The following is a 24719-nucleotide window of genomic DNA, read 5'->3' as shown; positions in this document are numbered from 1 at the left end:
TTCTTCAATACTTGGTATTCTACCTGAGCTAGGAGGGAAAATGTGCCTTTCCAGCAGCCAAGAAGGGTAGAAAAAGCTTACAAAGTGGGTACAGCGAGCAGAAAGCTACCACAACATATAAGGAGGATAAGTCTTGACTACCAAGGAAAGGGACAGGATTGGGTGAGCCACGTGGGAACCTAAAGCACCTCTGTCCACTGCTCTTCATTACACATTAGAAAGCACATTTTGGAGAAGAAAGAGATCCATATGGACTGTTTTACAGCACAAGTAGCTTTTCTTTCTTGGGTTAGCTTTCTGTTTACTGGTTTTTACTCTCATGTGTGTATGTTTAACAAACAAAGTCATTTGCAAACTGGGGGATTGGAGGTGGGAGCTGGAGGACAGGGAATGGACAAAGCTCTTCCCAGATTTGATGTCTGGTCAAAGCCTGATTCCAGAGTCTAGGGCCTAAAATCAGGTTATAGTGTCATATATATATGTAAAGAAGCCCCTGGGGCTTTGTGCTGGATAAGCAAATTCAATTGTACCCCCAAGAGAAGCAGCCAGTATGGAGTTTTCTCCTCCATAAAGCTTCAGAGAAGGGACTTCATGGCTCTGAGAAAGTGCTCTGGAAACTGGACCAGTGCATTACAATTAATTGTACTTTACTATAATTTTTGGTTTCTGTAATCAAAAAGTCTTCAAAGTGTTCAGAAGTAGGTAAAACAGAAAAATATGACCTTAAGGATGCAAATGGCAGCAACATTTACAAAATAGTGAAAATTTGACAAATGTTTACTTAAGAATATAAATTTAATTCAGAAGTGTCCCTAGACAAATTGATGAATTTTTTATCTTTCAAATGCCAAAATAATGGAAAGGAAAAGGAAGGGAGGGAGGGAGGGAGGGAGGGGACACTTGAATGGAAGAAAACCGTCGAAGGCATTTTTTTTTTGAGAGTTTGATCATGATAAAACACCTGCTTCCTTTGCTACAAGCCAAGCTAATAATATTCTCAGCTAATGTTTAATGAAAATTAACTGCATGCTAAGAACTTTGAATTATATGGATTATCACATTTGATCCACATAATAACTTTATGAGATAGGTGCTATTTTCTCCTGTTTAACAGATTAGGAAAACTAGGTTTAAAGAGAAAAAGTAACCTGATCCATGTCATTTTCCCAGTAAAAAGTAGAACTGAGATCTTAACTGAGAGGAGTGGGGAGTCTGACTCCAGAATCTATGTGATCAAACATGACACTATACTGCTCCATGAGGAGGGGAAGGGGAGAATCTGGCCAGGCATTAGCTACCTCTCTACCACCTACATGAAGGTCACTCATTTCTGGAAACCAGTCTCGGAAGGCAAGGCCACTGTATACAGTTCTTCAGGTTGTGCACTGCTCAAGAGCACCATTACTAAGGAGATACCATTCACATTGTAGATGTATTTTAACTAATATGAGAGGCTATAGATGGAGGTGAAGATCTGGAGCTCTAGCACTGGAAGCTGCTGACCAAGTCGTGGGAGAGCAGCACACACAGCTGTGCACACAGTTACCAGCACACACTATGCACAATTGTCCTGTCATGGCCAAACTCCAAGTACCCCATAGAGTTGTTTCTCTTCCTCTTCTGTTGCTTTCAGTGACTCAATTTCTACCCTCAATCTGCCTTCAAATTTGGAAGGGGAAATGCATGGAGAATACATGCTGCCATCTATGGCTACAGCAAATTACACAACAATATACCAACTGAATTTATTCTTAAGGAAGAGTTGCCCTTTCTAATTGGTCAGAGGTGCCGTATTATCATATCTATCAGGGGTCCTAGTGAAGGTCCCTAATTGCAGCTTGCAGCACCCCCCATCCCCTTGTGCCCATTCATTGTTGAGTGCTTCAGCTGTACAAGCCATTTTAATGTCAGTTTGAGACCAACAGAGACTGGAAGATCACATCTTTTACAAGGAAAAGAAAAACCCATAAACTATTTTCCAAAGGGAAATATTGGGGTATTTTTCAACTGTGTCATCTATTTGGGTAAGCCACACTTCTCAGTGTCCTCTTTCCATGAAGATCATCTCATTTACTGTATTATGCTTTGTCAGGGACGTGAATTAGTAACCACCAGATCATGCAACTCTGAAGTCAGTGACCCAAGCTGCCCAAAGTTCTTCTCTATGAGAGTTGGAGGGGCCAGGTCAGCTGGAGGGCACCAGCTGCCAGCCAAATGGCAGGGGAATTCCTCTCCTGAATTTTGAATTTTCCCTGCCCTCCTGCCCAAGTTGTTGCATCACTTGTCCGGGAGATGCCTGAATGGGCTGGTAAGCTGGGGCACCCTAAATAGTCTGAGACCCCTGAAGGGGACACAAGAGGAGGAAGGATATGGATCAGTGTTTTCTTTTTTGAAGCTACTGTTACCACTCCTGGAAAAGTTCTTCAGGAATAAGTGACAGTAAGAATGACAAGGGATTAGGACTGGCTTCCTCTTATAAATAATAAAATCCAAAGAGAAGTGACTTGAGGTGAGTGGCAGAGCTACGCCTTGCACCCCGACCTTCCGTTGCTAGCTCCAGCTGCTTTCCAAAATACCACCTTGACTTCTCAGTCTCCAGGTTTAAAGGAGAGCAACTAGAAGTCGTCCAAACACCTGCATCTCATAAGGAGAAGAAAAGTCCACCTGGATCTTGTTTCTGGACTGAGATGGATGGAGAGGCCACAGTGAAGCCTGGAGAACAAAAGGTGAAATGATGCTTTCTCCTGGAGGTTGGGATCTTGCCTCTGAATGTGGGGGGTGAACTGCAGCCATAGCTGTCACACATGCTCCTCAGTGCCCTTCCCAGAGCAGGTGGGCTCCTTCCCAGGAGGCCAGGTAAGGGTTCTAGAGTCCAGAACATAGGGGCTCCCTCTCAGCTCCCTATTATTCTGCTCACACCCACCAGAGTGCATGGTTCCTTAGAAGTCCTGGGTAATTTAGAACCAAAAAAACGTTAGAAAGAGAAGAAACACGGAGAACATGCAGTCAAAGCTCTTCTTTTGTAGAGGAGAGGAACAGAACATTGGCCAAGTTATTGCAGCAGCCTGAGGCTGCTGCAGCCCCTCCTGAGTCCTGGTTCTGTGCTCTCTCCTCTATACTACACTGACTCCTTCCCTTCTTATCTGCTGCCCAGGGGATGTGGGGAGGGGATAGGAGTGAACTGGGGCTCGGAGGGCCAGTAGGCATCTGGGAAGTCATGCAGCAAGCAGCCTGTGCTGAAGCTGAGGTGAGGTGCATGCCCTTCCCAGCAGGATGAGAGGGACAAGAGAGTCCCCTCATATGGTCTCATCCCCTAAAACGCAGTGTGCAGTAACAGAAGCCTGTGGCCCCAGGCTACTGAATTATGGCCCCCTGTCTCCTGGAGAAAGGATTTCTGAAGGTCATTGGCAGAGAGGGTGACTTGGAGACATTCCGTTGAGTATTATCCTCCCAGCCTCCAATCAAAGCTGATAACTCCCTGGAAACATTTTATCTCATACTCCTGCTTCCTCATTGCCCCACGGAGCCGGCTTTTCTCCCTGAAGCCCAGAGATTGCTGCACCGGTGACTTCAGAGGAACTGGATGGTATGATGCAGAGACTTTGGCCCCAACATGTGCTGCATCAGCACTTAGTGCTTTAGAAAAATTCACCCGGGGGAGTCTAGGTACCAGCCCCAGAATCAGCCAGGACTTGGTGAATATTAATCAAATTATGAGTTAGGTGCAGGAACAAACACCCTGGGAGAGTCTCCAGGTGGGGACAGGAAGCTTTGTAAGGCAGGGAAAGGTCTGAGACTGCCATCGCAGTGCCCAAGCTAGGGGACTTGCTACAGCGAAGGCACAGAAAGATGCATAAAGAGCCTATGGACTTTTAAAGATCTGGCCATTCTTGGGGCTCAAACTGGGTAGAGCAGGGAAAGGCCTTAGTGGAGAGGGCTGGGCAGAGCCAAGCTGAGGGGACAACTTGCCAAGTCTAGTTGCAGGAAAACAAGCTCAGGGCCACCCCATGGACTCTCTACTTTTCTCTGCTTCTGTCTTCTCTCTTCCCTTTTCCCTTCTTTCACCTCCTACCTCTCCTTTTCTCTCCCTGTTCTCCTACTTCCTCTGCCTTCTCTTTTCCCCTATTCCCTGTTTTCCTCTTTGTGATTCCCTCCTGCACAGCCTGTGTCACAAACTGGCCAGTGGTTTTGCATGGCTTAAACTGTTTGGGGAGTGAGGGGGTTTCTGCCCATGGGCCAAACCATTGACTGTTAGCGCCTGTCCTTAACAGTAGTGAGGAACGTATTAGAGTAGGAAGAAAAACTCAACGGCTAACTTTAGTTTGCTTTTTCAAAAATCTATAGGTCTCAGAAACAGAAGCAATAGATAGATTCAAAGAGTAGATTTTTAATCCATCAAAAAGCATCCATGAATACCCTCTGGGGAATACAAGAGAAGTGTAATGTACAATCTCTGTCTTTTTTGTTGTTGTTGTTGTTGAGACAGAGTCTTGCTCTGTCACCCAAGTGGTAGTGCAGTGGCACGGGCTCACTGCAACCTCTGCCTTCTGGGTTCAAGCAATTCTACTGCCTCAGTCTCCTCAGTAGCTGGGATTACAGGCATGTGCCACCACGTCAGGCTAATTTTTGTATTTTTTAGTAAAGATGGGATTTCACCATGTTGGTCAGGCTGGTCTTGAACTCCTAACCTCGTGATCCACCCGCCTCGGCCTCCCAAAGTGCTGGGATTACAGGCATGAGCCACTGTGCCCGGCCACAATCTCTGTCTTTTTCATCAGCAAGCGGTAAAAGACCATTGTGTAGTGATCAGTATGGTGTCCATTAAAAGAGGAGGGTTACTGTTCACAATAGCTGTGCATTTCACATCTACAACGTGCTAGATCCCCTTTCAGAGCATGATGGTAGAGGGATGAAATACAAAGCTGTCCCCTCTGGAAGCTCCCCAGGCCAGTGGGAGAGACCACAGTGGGGTGAAGGTCAGTGTGGATGGGGGGACAGAGAGGGCTTTCTAGAAGTTGTGGAGAAGAAACAGAATAGCACCCTAGTGCAGAGAGCTACTTGGTCTGAGATTTAATTTTTAACTCCTTGTTACTAACCGAGGCATACTAACAGTGAAACAGAAATCTTCCCTTGAAAAAACCAATTCCCCTTCTGCAAACAGGAAGTGGTGAGGAGAGGAAGAGAAGTGGACTACTCCAGGCTCATTGCTGGCACTTTACCACAATCTCACGTAAGTTGTGTAACAACAACCCCTTGCAGATTCCTTCATTCTCCTGAAAAGGAATCGAATCCCTGAGACTAACCTTCCAAGGTCCCACAATTCCAACTAGAGTTTGGACTTCAAACGTGGCCTTTCCACTACACGGTGCTCCCCACAAACTCAGAGCTCCAGGCTGGCAAGTGGGTGCCCAGGCTAGAATCCTACAGAGGGAGTTTCACCTCTTCTGAACACAGAACCCTCAAGGGTAAGGGACATTTTGGCCTCGTGGACGTGACCAAAATGTGCATGCTTAGGAGTGTGAGGATAAAGTCATGCTTTCTCAGGGAGGGAAGTGCTTGTCTTACTCTCAGATATCTGCAACCCAGCCCCTGCACTGAGCAAACCGAGATCCCAAAGTGAGAAGATGCTTGTTCTCTCAAGTCCCACCACCCTCACCCAGCTTCTCTCAGGCCTCTTTTCATTTAGAGTGTTTTTTGCAGGTCACCAGCAGGAGGGCGGGATGGAAAATGCCCCTCTTCCTCATACTGTGCCTGCTACAAGGTGAGTCCCAAACCCAGCCCAGGTTCAGGGCTTACAAAACCAGACCTGAGTCTTCCAGGCTGCCCTAAAGGTCCTCACAGGCTGGTATGGTAAAACTGTCCAGGTATAAACCATGCTCAGATGACAAATGGCTCCATCTCCATGCTGTAGTAGATTTTATTCTGATGGTAATAGGGAACCATTGAGGAACATAGTGAGTATGCGCCAAGAGTACCCAGTACCTAGAATCTAGTCCCAAGTAGATGCTTAATAAATAATGACTGAATAAATTAATGAATGAATGGAAATTCCATCATAATACCAAAAAAAGGATTAACAACTGGCTTAAAAACAAATCAGAGTTTTAATGAATCAAAGGTAGCCAATAAGGTCGGACGTGATGGCTCACACCTGTACTCCCAGCACTTTGGGAGGCCCAGGCAGGCGGATCACAAGGTCAGGAGTTCGACACCAGCCAGAGCAACATGGTGAAACCCTGTCTCTACTAAAAATACAAAAATTAGCCGGGCCTGGTGGCACGCACCTGTAGTCCCAGCTACTCATGAGGCTGAGGCAGAAGAATCGCTTGAACCCTGGAGGCAGAGGTTGCAGTGAGCTGAGATCGCGCCACTGCACTCCAACCTGGGCAATAGAGCGAGACTCCATCTCAAAACAAAAACAAAAACAAAAAATGTAGCCAATATTTGAGTAAGCACTCTGCGTGATAAAATCACACCACCTCTTTAATCTCCTGCTGTCCCTTTTAAAATTTTTCAGTAAACGACAACTCAGGCAGGCCCATGATTTTTCTGCTAAGTAATAGTCCTAAATTAATTGCTTTAAGTCTCAAACGTTCTAAATTTGATCATTTAAAGTTTCCAGCTAAATACTTTGGTCAGCACTTTAATCTTCATTTAAAGGTATACTCCCTCATCCCCTCAAGGCCTGCAGTCCAGGAAGGGGGTGTGGTTGCTGCCTTCCCTCTTCTCCACCCCTCTCCTCCCAATCTAGGCAGCTGCTGCTTGAGACCCCAGCAAGGTGGTAGCAGTGGGAGGGAGAAGCTGCAGGAGGGCAGGCAGCTCTTACTTGATGGATGGCCTGGAGCTATCTGGCCTGGCAGGGGTTTGGAACTGGCTGTTTGCTTCTTCCTCTGTAGGTGCCTTTGTGGACACATGGATGGCCCCCTGATGACCCATCTCCTTCCTTTGCTGCAGGTTCTTCTTTCGCCCTTCCACAAAAAAGACCCCATCCGAGATGGCTGTGGGAGGGCTCTCTCCCCTCCAGGACCCATCTCCGGGCCATGGGAACACTCAGGCCTTCCTCGCCCCTCTGCTGGCGGGAGGAGAGCTCCTTTGCAGGTACAACCCCTACTCTCCCTTTGTTCGACCATGGACCTCAGACTTCCCAGGCTCTCTCAGACCAAGTCAGGCTCCCTACAGCTATAGGCAGCCCTAGCCTCTCCTAATGGAAGCCATAGCAATAGACAATTGCTGAGTAACAATGAGGGGATGAGAGCCAGGGCACCCACCTCCATGGATGGGCAGGGAGTTGGCATCAGGGCCCCCAGGTGGGCACACATTGACCCTAAAATGCTGGCCTGGTCTTGAATTCTTATGGTAGTTAATATAAAATTTCCCAAACCTTAATTATTGTATATAACAAAGAGCTATTGATCAGTGATCTATCAAATGAATCCTTAAGGTATTGGTTCTTAACTTTGGTATTAATAAAAAATTATGTGCATTTGCAAGGGTTGATTAAGGATTCTTAATCAGCTTTCTATTGTGAAGTAAGACCACCCCATCCTGCTGATTAGTGGAACCCTGCTCCTCTCAAATGTTTCACATACAGATCAGGGGAATTCCTGAAATCTGGGGTATGCACACTTTATCAGGGCATCATCACTATTGTCCTGAAATGGTCCTTGTTTGTAATTGTGAATATTGCATATATGCACAACTTGGTAAATTTAAATGGTAATTTAACTTTCCCATTAGTGGCATGGTTTGGGGTGTGTTGTTTAATGAAACGTACAGTGAGTATCAGCACAGACATAACATTTATGACCTCTACTCTTCCAGCAGTTAGACCTGAATACACACATAATAGGCAGGGTAGGTTTCCTGGGCCTGTGCAGTCACACAGGACCCCATACTCAGAAGGTACTTGGCTTAATGCTCTGCTGTTGCCATGTTGAAATTCTTAATAACTTTTGAACAAGAAGTCCTGCATTTTCATTTTGCTCTGGCACCCACAAACTGCTTAACTGTTCCTGGCAATAGGATTATATTAGGCCATTTTTACGGTGCTATAAAGAAATACCTGAGACTGGGTAATTTATAAAGAAAAGAAGTGTAATTTTGCTCACGGTTCTGCAGGCTGTACAGGAAGCATGGTGCCGGTATCTGCTTGACTTCTGGTGAGGCTTTAGGGAGCGTTTGCTTACAGGGGAGGCAAAACGGGAGCAGCACAGCACATGGCGCAAGAGGGAACAAGAGAAGGGGTGGGGGGAGGCCCCAGATCTCATGTGAACTGAGAAATAACTCATTTAGCACCAAGGGGATGGTACTAAACCATTCATGACTGATCCTCCCCCACAACCCAATCACCTCCCACCAGGCCCCACCCTCAACATTGGGAATCACATTTCAACATGAGATTTGGAGGGGACGAACATCCAAACCAAATCAAGGATATTAAACTGAACTTTCTGGGGTTCAGACATCCTAAAGGCAGAACAGACTGATAGGTGCCAGGCATCCACATCCTACCGCAAGATGTTGAACCACATGTACAGGGCTGTAGAAAGACACATAGAGCTGGTCCCAGCAACAGCCCCGCGGGAAGCTGTCCAGGCCAAATGAAGGAGGGAGAGAATCATCAGCGGCTGCAGAGCTCACTGTGAGGGCTTTGTCGGAGAGATGTCCCTGTGTTGTGGTCCCCTCCACTTGTCCCAGGGGACAGGAGACATCACTTTCTCCTCACTTTAAGCCAAGTAAGAGGAGGAACTTCCAGAAAGCCACTCAACAAGCATGCCCTTTGTCCCAGGTTCTTCTGACTGCAGGACACAGGTGTACTTCCTGTGTTAAATGCAGGGCCTCCACCTAGAGGGCCACCCAGAGGGGACTATGACCACAGAGCAGGGCAGATAGCCAGAAGTCATAGGCTTGTGGGTGGTGGCCACTAATGGCCAGCAGAAGAACCTGCAATTCTCATAAGGAGAGAACGACAGCCATATATGCTAAAAATACATCTGGTAGGCAAAAAAGAGGCAGCCTTGGTCATCTGCCATGCCCAGAAAGCACCAAGGGCAGATCACAACTGTCTCATTCACCTCTCCTCTCCCCACTCTGCCCAACTCTGGAGGGACCCCCAAACAGAAGCTTTGAACAGGGGAAGGGATAGAGCAAAGCAAGAGACCCCAACCATGCCCCCCTCCTCCATGACAGACTCCAAGCCCAGCTGGGAGAAAGGAAAGGGTTTTGACTGGGCAAAAGATTGGAGTTGTGATCTTTCACTGGACTGGACTGGATGTATAAGTTTAGACTAGGCGGGGCTCTTTATTATCCATGAGAAATTACGAAAGAAAGCTACTATACATGAGATTATGCCTGAAATTTCAGCAAGGATCAGAGATGTCCACGGAGAAGGTATGAAGAGGCAGTGAGAGAAAGAATGAACTTTGTTTCTGCTTGCACCCCATCACATTTAAGTCATCCAGGAAGCTGGCCATATATGTGGTTCAACTACGAATTGTCCTTAGGCCTGTTGCCAAGCAGACATATTCATAGTACTGCTCATCTGTGCTTATATGGTGGCATTTGGTTGTTTCTGTTTCTATGGAAAAGTGACTAGTGTGAAAAATTTTGCAACCACTGGTCCAGACAGGTACCCACCAAGCAGAAGGGGATTCTTGTGTTTCAGGACTCCCCGTCTTTTGCAGATGAAAGGTACACTGATATGTTCTTACTGCTTAGCATCTGTCTTTTACATTCCATGCAAACCAGAGCCCTTCTATCAGGGAATCATCACTGTTGTCCTGAAAGGGTCCTTGTTTATAATTGTGAATATTTTTGTCTTTTGATGATAGATTACCATTTAATGTTATCATTGGTGGCATAGTTTGGACTGTGTTGTCTAAATCTACAGTGAGGAGTGACTGAGTGAGTGAGTGTCAGATGTTGCCTCAGCCCTCTCATGTGTGCTTAGATGGCATCTTTTTAAACATCTGCATTGGAGCACAGGGGAACCCAGGCTCTGGATGGACCAGGATAGCTCAGGATAAGTGTTAGCTTATCAAGGTGGGTAAGATTATGATTACATTTTCATCTTCCATACCTTGGGACAACATCTGCTTTCCCAATGGCTGAGTTCTGCCATTTTTATATTGATTCTGCTCCATGTTCACAGTGGTATTTTCTGACTTGACCCCTAATTCTGGCAGAGTTCAGAGTTCGTGAGTCCCCAAACAGTGACTATGCTCACCACTTCCTCTCCTTTGACTTCCTTCTCTGTCTGCAGCTCCAAATTCATTGAAGGGCTCAAGGCTGGTGTCAGGGGAGCCTGGAGGAGCTGTCACCATCCAGTGCCATTATGCCCCCTCATCTGTCAACAGGCACCAGAGGAAGTACTGGTGCCGTCTGGGGCCCCCAAGATGGATCTGCCAGACCATTGTGTCCACCAACCAGTATACTCACCATCGCTATCGTGACCGTGTGGCCCTCACAGACTTTCCACAGAGAGGCTTGTTTGTGGTGAGGCTGTCCCAACTGTCCCCGGATGACATCGGATGCTACCTCTGCGGCATTGGAAGTGAAAACAACATGCTGTTCTTAAGCATGAATCTGACCATCTCTGCAGGTATGAGCTGACGGCTGATGGGCCAAGCTTGGTGAAGCACGTTCTAGGAAGGAGAAAGTGGGAGAGAAGCCTCAGAGACCCAGAAGGGCTTGAAACATTAGGGAAGTGACAATGAAAAGCTGGGGCAAGGCAAAGACTTTAAGAAGTAGGCTTTCATTTCAGAAGAAGGCTGCCTTCAAAAAAAAGGAAGATTTTAGGAAAAACTTCCCCAGTGAATGCATGTACACTCTCCCACCTGTGTCCCCCAAATGTCATGAAATATATATTTGGAGACGGCTCCAAGAATGGGATGACGTGGCTTCTTAGGATCCTGATAGCTGCATGTTCAGACATGCAGAGAAGCGGCAGCACTGCAGAGGAGGTGTGACAGGCAGGACAGAAGAATTGCAACTGGGCTGTCCTTCACACAGACTCTTGCTGAGTCCCTCAGCCAACATCTGACAGCTCCCAGGCCTAGGCCCTCTGCAGCAGGTTCTGTTTGTTGATCCCAAGTCAGGCACCCAGAGCATAGGAAGGGCCTCCAGGCTGTGAAAGGCCACTTGGCAGAGGAGACAGCATGACAGGAGGCAGCCTGAAAGCAGGTTAGTTCTATTAGATGCTGCTCTCCAGCCGCCTGCTGCAACGGGCTGCTCTGCTAGAAGTGGAGTGTTTCTTTTACCTTTTTTGAAGAACAATACCTGCTGGGCGGTGGGCCTCTGGAGAAAACAGCTTGGGAATTCAAGACAGCTGGATAGAAAATATGTGGGCATGGGAGAAGGAAATAGGAGTATAACATGTCAGTGTCTGCCACAGACGAGAGAATGTTTGCCACAAACTGGAGAATGAAACATTTTCCTATTTTTTATTTTATCCAACCTATTGGTCAAAGACTGCAACTCTTAGTGAGGTTGCATTCCACTTAGCAGACATTTTAAACCTGGTGTCCTTTGCCAAATCCAGTAGGTGGCCTGCCAGCCTTCCCATGTGGCCTCCCTCTGCTGTCCACACAGGTCCCGCCAGCACCCTCCCCACAGCCACTCCAGCTGCTGGGGAGCTCACCATGAGATCCTATGGAACAGCGTCTCCAGTGGCCAACAGATGGACCCCAGGAACCACCCAGACCTTAGGACAGGGGACAGCATGGGACACAGTTGCTTCCACTCCAGGAACCAGCAAGACTACAGCTTCAGCTGAGGGAAGACGAACCCCAGGAGCAACCAGGCCAGCAGCTCCAGGGACAGGCAGCTGGGCAGAGGGTTCTGTCAAAGCACCTGCTCCGATTCCAGAGAGTCCACCTTCAAAGAGCAGAAGCATGTCCAATACAACAGAAGGTGTTTGGGAGGGCACCAGAAGCTCGGTGACAAACAGGGCTAGAGCCAGCAAGGACAGGAGGGAGATGACAACTACCAAGGCTGATAGGCCAAGGGAGGACATAGAGGGGGTCAGGATAGCTCTTGATGCAGCCAAAAAGGTCCTAGGAACCATTGGGCCACCAGCTCTGGTCTCAGAAACTTTGGCCTGGGAAATCCTCCCACAAGCAACGCCAGTTTCTAAGCAACAATCTCAGGGTTCCATTGGAGAAACAACTCCAGCTGCAGGCATGTGGACCTTGGGAACTCCAGCTGCAGATGTGTGGATCTTGGGAACTCCAGCTGCAGATGTGTGGACCAGCATGGAGGCAGCATCTGGGGAAGGAAGCGCTGCAGGGGACCTAGATGCTGCCACTGGAGACAGAGGTCCCCAAGCAACACTGAGCCAGACCCCGGCAGTAGGACCCTGGGGACCCCCTGGCAAGGAGTCCTCCGTGAAGCGGTAACCCCAGGCACCTTCTCCCGGTTGGGGGGCCCCACATCTGCCTCATCCCTGGCATGCAAGGGAGGCCCCTCTCCCTCTGCTCACTTCTCTCCCTTTGTACCCACAAGACAGTGACATACACATCGGATGCCCTCCCTCACCCAAGGGGCCTTGCTGTGAGAACGCTCCCTGAGTATTTCCATGTGGTTTTCAAGTGATATCTAAATGATAGAAAGACAATATTTAGGCTGGAACCTTCATTAGGACTTTCTGTTTTTAAAGATAAAGAATAGGCGCTCCGGAGAGAGGGGGTGATGCACTGAAGCCACAAGGAAAGGTTGTGGCAGAGCCCAGTGCTGAGGCTGGAGTCGCTTGCTCCCACCTAGTCCTCTTTCTCACTGGGAGGCATCGCAGGGCCCACACACAGATGGGTGGAAGAGGGAAAAGGATTCAGGCTTGGAAGCCTGAAGACAGAGATTCTAGCCCCAAGCTCTGACACTAACCAGCCATGGGAACCAGGGCTGCCCATTTGCTTTGGCCTCAGCTCCCCAATCTGTAAAGTAAGGATGTGGGTAAATGGTCTTTAATCTTCTGCCCAGCTCCAACCTCCTCTCCCCTGTGCTCTTTCCACCCCCACTGTAGTACTTTTCCAGAAGATGAAAGCAGCTCTCGGACCCTGGCTCCTGTCTCTACCATGCTGGCCCTGTTTATGCTTATGGCTCTGGTTCTATTGCAAAGGAAGCTCTGGAGAAGGAGGACCTGTGAGTTGAGTAGCCCCAAGGCTAGATAGAAGAGTTCTGGTTCCCACCTGACACCCTCAGGGCTGGGTAGGGGTAGAGTCCTGCCAGGACTTTTCAATGTAGAAGAGCTAAATTCTAGGCTGAGCCATTTAACCACTCTTGGCCTTGGTTTCTTTTCTTTCTTTCTTTTTTTCTTTCTTTTCTTTTCTTTTTTTTTTTTTTTTAGACAGACTCTTGCTCTGTCATCCAGGCTGGAGTGCAATGGTGTGATCTTGGCTCACTACAACTTCCGCCTCCCAGATTCAAGCAATTCTCCTGCCTCAGCCTCCCAAGTAGCTAGGACTACAGGCATTTACCATCATGCCTGGCTAATTTTTGTATTTTTAGTAGAGATGGGGTTTCACTGTGTTGGCCAGAATGGTGTTGAACTCTTGACATCAAGTGATCCTTGGCCTCCCAAATTGCTGGGATTATAGGCGTGAGCCACTCTGCCCAAACTGCCTTGGTTTTTAATCAATAAAATTAGAAATTATCTCTGTACTTACGTGTCAATGGCATCCCAGAGCACAAGGAGAAGCTCCTGGAAGATTACAAAGGCTGTGATGCCTATGTTAACCATAAGCCTCATAAGCAACCCTCACAGCAGAGAGCAGGAGTGCAGGGCCCAGACCTGGGATCAAACCTCGCATTTTCCCCCTTTGGCAAAGCCCAGCTAAAATTCTCTGAGAGCAACATGCCCAGGTTTAAGTACTCTTAAAGTGAGGGCTCTGTGATATGTACACCTAGTGAAGAAAGGGTGAGATTTTCTGGCAGCAAGTGGAGGAGGCTAAGGTTCTCAGACCCAGGCCCCGAAGTCCAAGCCCTATCATGGGCTAGGCTGGCTTAGCCTAGCCAACTAGGGCTCCATTGCTTCTGTGTCAGAAAGTTCTTGAAAACTTGCAGTGGTTGGGAGTGGTTCTTAGGAAATCAAAGTCAGTGCTGTCCTTACCCAGAACCCTCACAGTCTGCTCTGTGTCTCTGCAGCTCAGGAGGCAGAAAGGGTCACCTTAATTCAGATGACACATTTTCTGGAAGTGAACCCCCAAGCAGACCAGCTGCCCCATGTGGAAAGAAAGATGCTCCAGGATGACTCTCTTCCTGCTGGGGCCAGCCTGACTGCCCCAGAGAGAAATCCAGGACCCTGAGGGACAGAGAGATGAACTGCTCAGTTACCATGGGAGAAGGACCAAGATCAAAGGCCTTCAGGACCCCAGCCTCTTTCCATCATCCTTCCTCCACCTGTGGGAAGAGAAGCTGATGCAGCCGGTGCTCCACCCATGGAAGAAAGGCTGGCTGTCCTTGGGCCCAAGAAAGTCAAGCATTATCCACGTCCAAAGGTGACAAGATGACTCAAAGGAGACTTCAAGAACAGTGTATGAAACACTGGAAGAGGTCACCTAGGAAAAGCATGAAATTTCCATTCCTGAATGTTTGAAAATAGAAGAGGCTTCCAATCAGTGTGGAAAGTGACAAATCCCCTATCAACACTCCCAGCCCTTGCTGGGGGCTCCTTTTCTGACTACTGTTAGCACTCAGCCTCCCATTCACATGTATTATATTTAAGTGTACCAGCCTTGCCTTCTCAAGTAGATTCTAAGCTCCTTTAAGGCAGTAATTGCATTTTATCTGTCTCATGATGCCCCCAGAGAACTTCCAACTCAGTAGGACCCCAATAAATACCTGTGTCTGATTGACTTGGGGGCTCAGTGGCCTCTAGGCACCCTTCCTCTGCAAGAACTCTGGGTCCCCCTGGGCTTCTGCCCCTCCTTTTGGGAGTCCCCTAGATGACCCCACAGGCAGCTGGTTTCTCCGCTGAGATCAAAAGGGCAAACACCCATTCCTCACATCATCCCGCCCCATTTGGACCCAGGCTTATTGTGCCGTAGACCTTTTGACCCGGCCAAGATTTTCTGGGATTTTCCTACATTCATGGAGGAGCAGGGTATTTTCAGTAGATTCTTGCTTTCTTCATAAAGGCCCTCTTGTTCAGCTGCTTATAAATCCTCGATATGGAGGACTGTTGGTGAAGCTGGAAAATGGTTTTTGGGGGTGAGGTGGGAGACAAAAGAGAGGAATTTTATGTGGATTCTGCCCTGTAACTACATCACCTCATGCTTGTCAGGGAACTTTCGCTCCACCCTAGGCCCCACTGCCTTTCCAGGAATCACATCCACTATTTTCTTTTGCCAGATCCGCTGGCAAACTGTCTGGGCTCCATTGTTGGATGGAACAGCCTGAGCGGTGGAGGCAGAAAGGAAAAATAGGCACCAATATCGAGTTGAGAATTGCCAGGTAGACATTTCCAGAAGGCTTAGTCCTGCCTTCTAAGCTGTCAGCAGCACAGAAATCCTTCAGTAATACCCCCTTATATCTGGTTCTGAACACAGACACTGTACAAAGAAAATCAAGGAGATGCCGGTTTTATGGCTTATAAGAGAAACCTGTTGTTTTGGATAAGTAGGAAAATTGCACACATCTAACCACATGGAATCGCAGAATTTCAGAGCTAACAGATCTTTAGAGATTAGTCTAATATCCTCATTCTAGAAGAGAGGGACTTGAGGCCCAACAGGGTTAAGGGTACAGGTGGGGGGCGCTTGTTTAAAGTCACCCAGTTAACCCAGTTAGTTATAGCACTGTGAGGACTAGCAAAGAGAACTCGTGACCTTGGTTCAGGGCCTTTTTCACTTCACCATTGCTGAGCATTGTACCAAAGCAAAACTCACTGTCAAAAATCAAGGATACCACAGTCGTCCCTCGAGACTATTTTCCTGTTCGCTTTCTCAATGACCTGCCCCAAATAATCCTGTAACGGAGATAGGACAGACATCATGGATCCTATTCAACCAATGAGGGAGCAGGCTCTGCAAGGTGTGTACTTCAGCAAAGGCCACTCGGAGCAGCCCACCTCCACAGCTATGTTCTGGATCGCCGTGCCCCTTGCTTGGATTTATGATCTAGGTATCTGGTCAGGTCCTTTCCTGTGTAAAGCTCTAAAGGCTCACTTCTTTCTCTCTCTCTCTCTTAGGCTTGTGCATGGAAGGTTTCATGATCATTCCCAGGAATTGGTTCTCATTTGTGGCAGGGATGGGCCCAGCACCCAGACTGTTTCTAATGCTAGATTCTCAGGATGTGAAAAGGTGTTCTGAGGAAAAGGAGGTTTGGTAGATTAATGAAGTTTTGGAAATGCTGGGAAACCACAAACATTCTTCTATGCAGGATCTTTTGGAGCCTTTGCTATATGGAGGTGTATTGTGAAACACCCTGGGTTTTCACACCTCGGGATGGGGACATAATGTGTGTTTCCCAGATGTGTTGGATTATTGTGTTTGATTGAAGCAGTCCCAAGGGGCTGGAGTTCCTCACATCACTGTTTGGGGAAGCCTGATGCACTAAACCCGGGGTTGGCCAACTCTTCAGTAAAGGGCCACATGGTAAACATTTTAGGCTTTGCAGGCCATACAGTCTCTATGGCAACTACTCAGTTCTGCCGTTGCAGCACAAAAGCAGCCAGGCAATCGAGAAACAAATGACCGCAGCTGTGTTCCAACAAAACTTTATTTCCCAAAACAGGAGGGAGGCTGGATTTGGCCCTTGAGCCAGAATCTGCCAGTCCCTGGACTAAGCCATGAAATTGTACAGGACTCTTTTGTTCCCACTCGGATCTGGAGATCAGATCCTATTCTTCCTCAAGGGCTTCCCTGACCACCTTTCTCCAGGACCTCTCCTTCCTCCAAACGGCTCTAATACTTTCATTGTGGAATTCAGCAGCTAGAATGTTCTGTCTGACTACCCCATCTTGGGGGAAGAAGGGGAGGGAGGAGACAACCAGCCCAGCAAGAGTGTTGGCCACGTGGCTAGAGCCAGGAGCGTTTCTAGCAGGGAGGCCGTTATAGGGAAAGTTAAGCTCCACCAGAGGTGGAGCTGGTAAGAGTTCAAAAGGCCAGGGCAGGGCCAGATTAGAGTCCCAGGGCCAAGAGTTTGGAGGGGGCAGAGATAAGATCTGAGTAAGAACTTTCAGGGAGAGAAGCGGGGAAGCCCCAAGTGTTCACAGCTCTCCTTTATGGGCTAACTGATCCATGGAGTAGTCAGGAGGGTTGATTTAAAGGGCCAGAGGCCAAACTGGCAGAGGAGGCCACCTCCACCACTTGGTATTGTCAGTGCTGTTGTTTTTCATCTTATACCTCCGGCTAGCATGATGCCTATACCACTGAGATGAGGGGCAGGCAAACATCTATCCCTAGGCCAGAATCAGGGAAGCCTCCCTGGGGATTTCTAACTTAGGATTAGAATCTAATCGAGGATGCAGGGAGACCATTGATTTTCACAAGATCAAGCAGATTCTCAGGTTCGGGTGCATTTCTGCAGTTCACTTTACACTGTTACTTACTAACGCTGCTACTGCTTGTTAACGTGTTTCTGCACAGCAGGCACTATCCTAGGTGTTTTCACATTGTGTATCACAGTTACGGTAACATTTCTGTAAGGTAGGTGTGATCATTCCCATTTCATAGATGGGAAATCTGAGGACCAGAGAAGTTAAGTTACACTACTCAGGAAAGGGCACACTGGGACTTCATGCAAAGCACCTCACCTCCACAGCTGCATTCTCGATCTTTGTGTCCCCTGCCTTCCCCCTTGCTTGGATGTATAGTCTGAGTATCTGGTCAGGTCCCTTCCTGTGTAAAGCTCTAAAGGTTTGCTTCTTTCTTTCTTTCTCTCTCTCTCTCTCTCTCTCTCCCTCTCTCTGTCTTTCTCTCTCTCTTTTTCTTAGGCTCGTGCATGGAAGGTTTCATAATCATTTCCAGGAATTGGTTCTCTTTAGTCACCTAACTAGTTTATTACAACCCTGGCCTAATGAGGCATTAAAAAAAAAAGTTCAGAGAGCCGGAACTAGAGCTAAAAATTCAGGCACCAGCCCTGAGGTCCTTGCTGACATATGTATAAAAGGAGCTCAGATCTTTATTTGTGGGGATGTCCATCTGTCTCAGCTTACTCGGGGCAAATGCATGACTCTAAGCCAACTTTTGAGAGCTCTCTGCTAATACGTTGGAGGTTTCTTCCTCTCCTCCAATAGCCCACTGTGGTCTGAGACATAAAAAATCAGTTTAATAACAGCCTCAGTCAGGCCCTAGGGGAAGATACCTCCACAGAGAGACCCATAACGCACTGCAGCCAAGTAGACACAGGTTATTTGATTGTGCTCACCTGGTACAGATATCCCAGAGCTGAAAGCATGACTAATGTGGAATGGAGAATGGAGATTCTACTCAGAAAGAAACAAACCCTGCATTCAGGGTCCAGCACCACCAAGCTCTTCATTTTTCATACAGTGACACAGCTTGGTTTACAGGTGCTGGCCTTCCCGGGCCAGCCTGCTCCCTTCACTGTCAGCAGTATGATGAGCTGTCATCCTACTGCCTACTCTCTAAGGGGCCAGCTGAAACCCATGTGGGCAGCAGAGAAGCGGCAGCCTTAGGAGAGAACCCCATGCTGCACCTCTACAGGCATGTGGTGATCACCAGTGCCAATGCCCCTGGCCTGCAGACCACTGTTTGCCTCCTGGATGCATTGCATCAAAGACATTGATTGAAGCCAGGCACCGTGGCTCATGCCTGTAAACCCAGCACTGTGGGAGCGTGAGGCAGGAGGATCACTTGATGCCAGGCGCTTGAGACCAGCCTGGGCAACATAGTGAGACCTCATCTCTACAAACAACAACAACAAAAAGACACACATTTACTGAGTAGGATCTGAACTCTTCTATGTTCTGCCTCTGCCACCTCTGGCCTTGTTCCCACTGCTCACTTACTTGCTACCTCTATCCAGATCTACCAGTTCTGCTGTGAGCATAGAGGGTCAAACAAAGGCTACTTCTTTCCCTGAGTGGCAAACTTCTGGCTTCCTAACCTTGAGTACTTTAGAGAAGAGGAAGAAAGCTAGGACTACTGTGTCCAAAGGTGTTTTCAGAATGCTCTAATTTGTCTGAAGATACTGTGTTTCATTTCAGACAAGAGTTCAAGAAAAAGAATTCAGACTGTGGCTTCTTTAGGGCCTGGCATGGGAAGATCAGACTGATTAGCAAATGCAACTAATCTAAACATTTTATGGGGCCAGCACTTTCCTTCCCTACCTCTGCCAGTGGAGTACAGACAACTACAAATTAATTACAATATACATCACCAAAAAGAAACATACTCCCATTCTAGAGATGGGAACATTGAGGCTCAGATGAACACAGGCTGCAGGGGATTACAGGGGCTATTTTTCCAATCGCTGCCTGTCAGGCAAGCCTTGGGCCGAGAGCCAGGCTCAGACCAGGAACAAGGAAACAGCAAGTCTTCAGCAGGACCCCAGTGGCTTATGAGAGGGGCTGGGCCCAGTCACCTGACACTCCACCTATTGACTTTGGATGTCTACTCCAAAAATCTTCCTCCTTCCGCTTCTCCCTAGCCAGGGTGTGGAGGTAACAGCACATAGGACAATGGTTGGGTAACCTCAAAAAAGGTTTGCTCATATGTCCCTGCCTCTCAGAAACAGAGAATCAAAGCTCTTTGGAGTGTAGAGACTAGACCCAAAGAAGAATTGAGAGAGCTTTTGGACCATGGCTGACTTTCCATTTCCAGGGCCTTTTTCTTTCTTTTTTTTTTTTTAAATATTTTTTTTATTTATTTATTTTTGAGACAGACTCTCGCTCCCTCGTCCAGGCTGGAGTGCAGTGGCACAATCTTGGCTCACTGTAACCTCCACCTCCAGGGTTCAAGCAGTCCTCCTACCTCAGCCACCTGAGTAGCTGGGATTACAGGAGCACGCCAGCATGCGCGGTTAACTTTTGTATTTTTAGTAGAGTATTTTTCACAATGTTGGCCAGGCTGGTCTCGAACTCCTGGCCTCAAGTGATCGCCTCACTTGGCCTCCTGAAGTGCTGGGATTACAGGTGTGGGCCACCACACCCAGCCTCCAGGGCCTTTTATGTTCCACTTCACTCCCCGCTCCCCACGGCAGGCTCCTCAGGGCTGGACACAGGCAATCTCAGGGGGCTCTTACCACAGTTTCTACCTTCACTCTTTCACCAGCCAAAATGAGAAAGGGTAGCAACAACCTCCCCACTCTGGGAGCCCCAGAAGAAATGTTGTTTTCACTTTCTGACTGAGAGGCAGCTGAGCTAGGAAAACAGTGAAGAATGGGACATCAGGGCAGTGACACAGGGAGGCAGGTGGTCAAGGAGAAGGCAGGGCCTCAGTGTGTTCATAGAGGAAAGTGAAAAGATTTGAGCATTGCATGCACACGTTTGGCCAGTGAGTCACCTCTCCAACACCAACTGAAGACTAGAGCTGCTAATCTGACAGCGGCCTTCCTTCCCTCTTCACGTCCCTGCACGCTACCACCCAGCTTGCCATCCTTTGACTTCCCTGATTAATGTTGTTCTTAGAGTTGACACAATGCTGCCCATTTGTACATGCCATATGCCCTGAGCTCTTTAGGAAGGACTCTAGGAAGCCCCTAGAGAATCACCAATAGTCAGGGTCTTTCTAATGAACTCTTCCCTCTCCCACCTGCCCCTTAATAGGGAGACTCACCTGGGAAAAGGTTTAGGCCTTTGAACATAAATCTGGGCTCAGAAACTCCCAGAAAACATGCCTAAATGCAGCCAACCGGAACATTCAAGTTCCAGCTCCCCTAGTGGGATTCCAAGTAGTGGCTTCACAAGGAAGCATGTTGCCAGCCAGCAGCATTGCCAGCTGGGTAACAAGGGCAGTGGTCCCCACCCAATGCTCTTCTCCCCCAGCCCAAAAGGAAGAACTGAAACAGGAAGAATAAACGCTGTGCTCCTACCACTGAGTGACAGCTAGGGTCAGCAAACGCCATACCACTATCTGCTAATGGGAACAGGTAGCATGAATAATTCCAAACAGCCAGTATCCTCTAAAAAGGGGGGGAGAGTTTATTTAGCTTTGGCAAATTCAGTCACAATTTTATTCTTCAGTGGTTGATTCTAAAATGACTCTGTATTTTAGGCTAGATGAGGAATGCTGGATTGCAGGGCTGGCTGGCCTGGGATTAAACATTGACTCCAGTCAGGGGTTAAACATTGACTCAGGTGAAGATCTGTACATAGGAGCAGAGAGTTGGCAGTAAAGAGCATTTCCTCTGTCCCTCTTATCTCATTTTTATGGCAAAAGCCACACTCAAAGGAACCATCCATGTGGAGGGATGCCCGCTGAGCAGTGGAGAGTGAAGAAGGGCTATCTAGCTTCCCTTTCTCTGTTGGTGATTGTGTCAACCCATGGTTGTGGAGCATCAAGCTAAAGACAGCCTGAAGGGTTGGATTTGTGTGAGCCTGTGGGCTTGGTCATCTGCAATATTCTCTGGCTAAACCAAGGGTGTAAACGGACGTCCCTTGCTGTCTGTAGAAATATCATCCAAAAAATTCATCCTGACAGCAAAAGTTTTGGGAAGTGGAGGAAAATGCTTTCTAGAAAACCTTGGTTCTAGACCCATCTGTGTGATGACCTCCTGTGCAAACTGGAGCAAGTCATTTCACTTTTCTGTTCTTGGTCCTTCATCATTCAGTGGAGAATCACTCTAGTTACGCCATCATGTTCTGGTACATGCTCCTAGTAGTCTCCAAAACTGTCTTAGCAGACAGTGCCAGACACGTATGCATGTACACACACACACTTGCCTTTTGCTGTCCCGTTTATTTGCTGCTGAATCATAAGCGCCTATTAGATGCTAGTCACTGAACATATTATAGCTAATCTTTTTTTAGATTTTTATTTTGGGGAGATAGGGTCTTGTTCTGTCACCCAGGCCAGAGTGCAATGGTGCAATCATAGCTCATTTCAGACTGCAACTCCTGGATTCAAGCAATCCTCCCACCTCAGCCTCCCAAGTAGCTGGGACTACAGGGGTGTGCCACCACCCTGGCTAATTTTTTTGTTTTTGTAGAGACTGGGTCTTGCTATGTGGCCCAGGCTAGTCTCCAACTCCTGACCCCAAGTGATCCTCCCACCTTGGCCTCCCAAAGTGCTGGGACTAGAGGTGTGAACCACTGAACCTGGCCTATACTTAATCTTTATAACATACCTATACAGTAAGTATAATTTTCCCCAGAGACATTAAATAATTTGTTCAAGGTTCCCTGGCTGGCAGGTGGTAAGGCTTGGATGTGAACCCAGGGCGTCGAGGTCCAGAGCCCCTGCTCTTTTCCCAAGGCTACACAGGCTCTCTATGCTTGCTACCTCCTGGCTTGTGTTGTTCCTTGACAGTATTGCATGTGAGTGATGACTTCTCAATTGGACTACTTGCCCTTGTGGAACAGGGGTGCACTCTCCTGCATGTCTCAAATCTCCCTGGACCTTGAGCTTGTCATGGTTGGTAGGCCGAGAAATAACCACCATCCCTCTTCCCCAAGGTTTGTCTATGTCTCAATCTCTGGAGCCCAGAAGTGTGACCTTATTTGGAAAAGAGTCTTTGTAGATGTGATGAAGTTCAGGATCTTGAGATGAGGACATCATCTTGGATTAGCTGGGTGGGCCCTAAATACCATCCATATAACAGAGAAACAGAGAGTTATTTGAGACATACACAGAAGCCAATGTGACTATGAAGGCAGAGGTTGGAGTGACACAGCTACGTGCCAAAGAACACCAAAGAATGTCAGCAGCAACCAGAAGCTAGAAGAGGCAAGCAACGGATTATCGTCTAGAGCCTGGAGGGTGGCCCTGCTGGCACCTTGATTTCAGGCTTCTGGTCTCCAGAACAGAAAGAGCATACATTTCTGTTTTCTTAAGCCACTAAAGTTGTGTTAATTTGTTATAGCAGCTGTCAGAAACTAATACGGTGCTCAACCAAAACACAGAATCCTAGAACTGAAAGAGCCTTGGGAACAATTTGGCACTGTCCTCTGATGGAACAAACAATCCTGCAGACCTACAGGATGAAGTGATCTGGCAAAGGTCACTCGGCAATTAGAGGCAGAATCAGGAACAAAACAAAGGTGTTCCACAGTGACTTATGCTGAGTCCCAGAGTCAGGAAAGTCCAGTGAGAAGCTGTTCTTCTGCTGGTATATTTTCTTGTATGATTACTTTAAAAGAAGCAGGGAGGGTTGAGCAGATGAAGTGTTGTAAGTTTGGAAAGTATAATCACTGCTGTTATCATCATTATTATTGATTTGGGCAATGGACTCTCTTGGCCTGTCCCTCCTCCCCCAGGGCTGAGAAATAGTACTATTTTAGGGCCACTGGGTTCCAGATGGGGAAACCACAGTGCGAGAGGGGAAGCAAGTGAGTCCAATCACACCACCGGCGTGTGGCTGAGCCCAGAATAGGACGTAGGATTTTTGACTCCCTGCCTCTTCCCAGGGCTCTACTTCTCATTTTCCCCTTTCTGTAAACTGGATCAGTAGGATCAGTGGGCTCCAGGTATGTGGGGTGTGTGTGTGTGTATGTGTATGTGTGTGTGTCTGACATGGGTCAGCTAAGACAGTTTTGGAGACTATTGAAAACATGCAGCAGGACATGATCTAGTAAATTACCCACCATCATGAAATAGCAAAGCAGGGAAGGAAATCTGCAACCTGTCCTCCACGCCCACCAAGGCAGCATGAGAAGAAATGATTTAATGAGTGTTCTCCCCTTCCTCCCTGCAAGCCTTTGCTCGTCAAATTTCTGCACTAGTGTTCTGTGAACCTGCCTTGACTTCTACTCCAGCCTGGACAACTGGACACAACTTATTTCTTGCTTTGGGAAGGAAGAAACAAACCCTACAAATATTTTGACTATTGAGTTCAAATGGAGAGAGGTATAAATCGGGAATCCTTTGAAAGGAGCTATAATCTGACAGAACCAGGCTTGTCTCATCTCTGCACCTGCATATCTTGTCTCCCCTCGCATCCTCCTGCTAGACATTAACCCCAGAACTGGGGAGGAGAAAGACTGCTGAAGAGTAAAAAGGAGAGCTTAGTTACTGATGTGTCTTGGTGCCCTCCCACCCACCACCATGGGGCAGAGTCCAGGCTACAGTAGGGGAGAGGGGATTAACAATGATAGAGATATCCAGGTGGGCTTGAAAACTCCAGATTGAGGGGCCCTCACCTTCGCCCATCCTGTAGAGAACTTTGGTGGTCCACAGTCTTGCTGATATCCATTGTACCCCCAATTATATGGGAACACTGGCACACAGGAGGTTACAAGAGTGTTGGGGGAAAATGTGACTCTGCTGCACAGGATCTCCCAAAGGCCTCAGGAGTCTGTGATCAGCCAAACTCACCCTGCACCCACAAGGTGGGCAAGGAGAGGCTGAGGGCCTGGAAGACCCACCCCAGGGAGCTCAGTGTATGGACTAGGAGGGCACAGTGTGGACCACAGAACCCTCAGGATGAGCAGGGACAAAGCCCACTGACCAAGCAGGGGAAGTCACATCTCAGTAGACAAAACTATTTCCTTCTGGAGCCCAAGGCCAGCACAGCATCGTGACAAAGCAAGACCAAAATAATAATGGGCCACCCCTTTTCACTGCCTCAGCAGTAACATTGACCACCCCCTCACCCAAGACCGCTCT

The 24719-nt window shown here is 47.9% G+C and overlaps 1 protein-coding gene across 8 annotated transcripts, besides 4 other annotated features; it reads left to right on the top strand.

The window, feature by feature from the left end:
• Window positions 1246-1295: an enhancer, noted in NCBI's record as "active region_2438". NCBI's record gives its function as "activates an Ori minimal core promoter by ATAC-STARR-seq in GM12878 lymphoblastoid cells {active_cell/tissue: GM12878}" and the evidence as "EXISTENCE:reporter gene assay evidence [ECO:0000049][PMID:35858748]".
• Window positions 1376-1485: an enhancer, noted in NCBI's record as "active region_2437". NCBI's record gives its function as "activates an Ori minimal core promoter by ATAC-STARR-seq in GM12878 lymphoblastoid cells {active_cell/tissue: GM12878}" and the evidence as "EXISTENCE:reporter gene assay evidence [ECO:0000049][PMID:35858748]".
• Window positions 2175-14846, top strand: FCAMR (Fc alpha and mu receptor). Of its 8 annotated transcripts, XM_047431769.1 has the most exons (10): window positions 2175-2308; window positions 2396-2509; window positions 2593-2726; window positions 5162-5230; window positions 5701-5761; window positions 6955-7098; window positions 10262-10600; window positions 11590-12391; window positions 13016-13134; window positions 14137-14846. In XM_047431769.1, the coding sequence occupies exons 3-10, from the start codon at window positions 2688-2690 to the stop codon at window positions 14295-14297; spliced, it is 1734 nt and encodes a 577-aa protein (XP_047287725.1). In that variant the 5' UTR covers window positions 2175-2308; window positions 2396-2509; window positions 2593-2687; the 3' UTR covers window positions 14298-14846. The 8 variants fall into 8 exon arrangements, with proteins under 8 accessions (XP_047287725.1, XP_011508353.1, NP_001116451.1 ...); XM_011510051.3 differs by lacking the exon at window positions 2175-2308 and having other exon boundaries at window positions 2353-2509; NM_001122979.3 differs by lacking the exons at window positions 2175-2308; window positions 11590-12391 and having other exon boundaries at window positions 2353-2509.
• Window positions 10046-11245: an enhancer, noted in NCBI's record as "BRD4-independent group 4 enhancer chr1:207134913-207136112 (GRCh37/hg19 assembly coordinates)". NCBI's record gives its function as "activates an origin of replication core promoter dependent on BRD2, P300/CBP, MED14 and CDK7 cofactors, and independent of BRD4, by STARR-seq in HCT116 cells {active_cell/tissue: HCT116}" and the evidence as "EXISTENCE:reporter gene assay evidence [ECO:0000049][PMID:35650434]".
• Window positions 20974-21033: a silencer, noted in NCBI's record as "silent region_1769". NCBI's record gives its function as "represses an Ori minimal core promoter by ATAC-STARR-seq in GM12878 lymphoblastoid cells {active_cell/tissue: GM12878}" and the evidence as "EXISTENCE:reporter gene assay evidence [ECO:0000049][PMID:35858748]".

The sequence above is a fragment of the Homo sapiens genome, chromosome 1 (assembly GCF_000001405.40).
Source record: "Homo sapiens chromosome 1, GRCh38.p14 Primary Assembly".
In the NCBI taxonomy this organism is placed as follows: Eukaryota; Metazoa; Chordata; class Mammalia; order Primates; family Hominidae; genus Homo; species Homo sapiens.
Note: the sequence above shows the minus strand (reverse complement) of the source record. Positions and strands in the feature narration are given on the sequence as shown.

Excerpts from the sequence above, each read along its gene's own strand:
- FCAMR (XM_047431769.1), top strand. The coding sequence starts at position 2,688 with ATGGATGGAGAGGCCACAGTGAAGCCTGGAGAACAAAAG. Across the intron at positions 2,727-5,161 it reads TGAAGCCTGGAGAACAAAAG|GAAGTGGTGAGGAGAGGAAG; the intron begins GTGAAATGATGC and ends TTCTGCAAACAG. Across the intron at positions 7,099-10,261 it reads GGAGGAGAGCTCCTTTGCAG|CTCCAAATTCATTGAAGGGC; the intron begins GTACAACCCCTA and ends CTCTGTCTGCAG.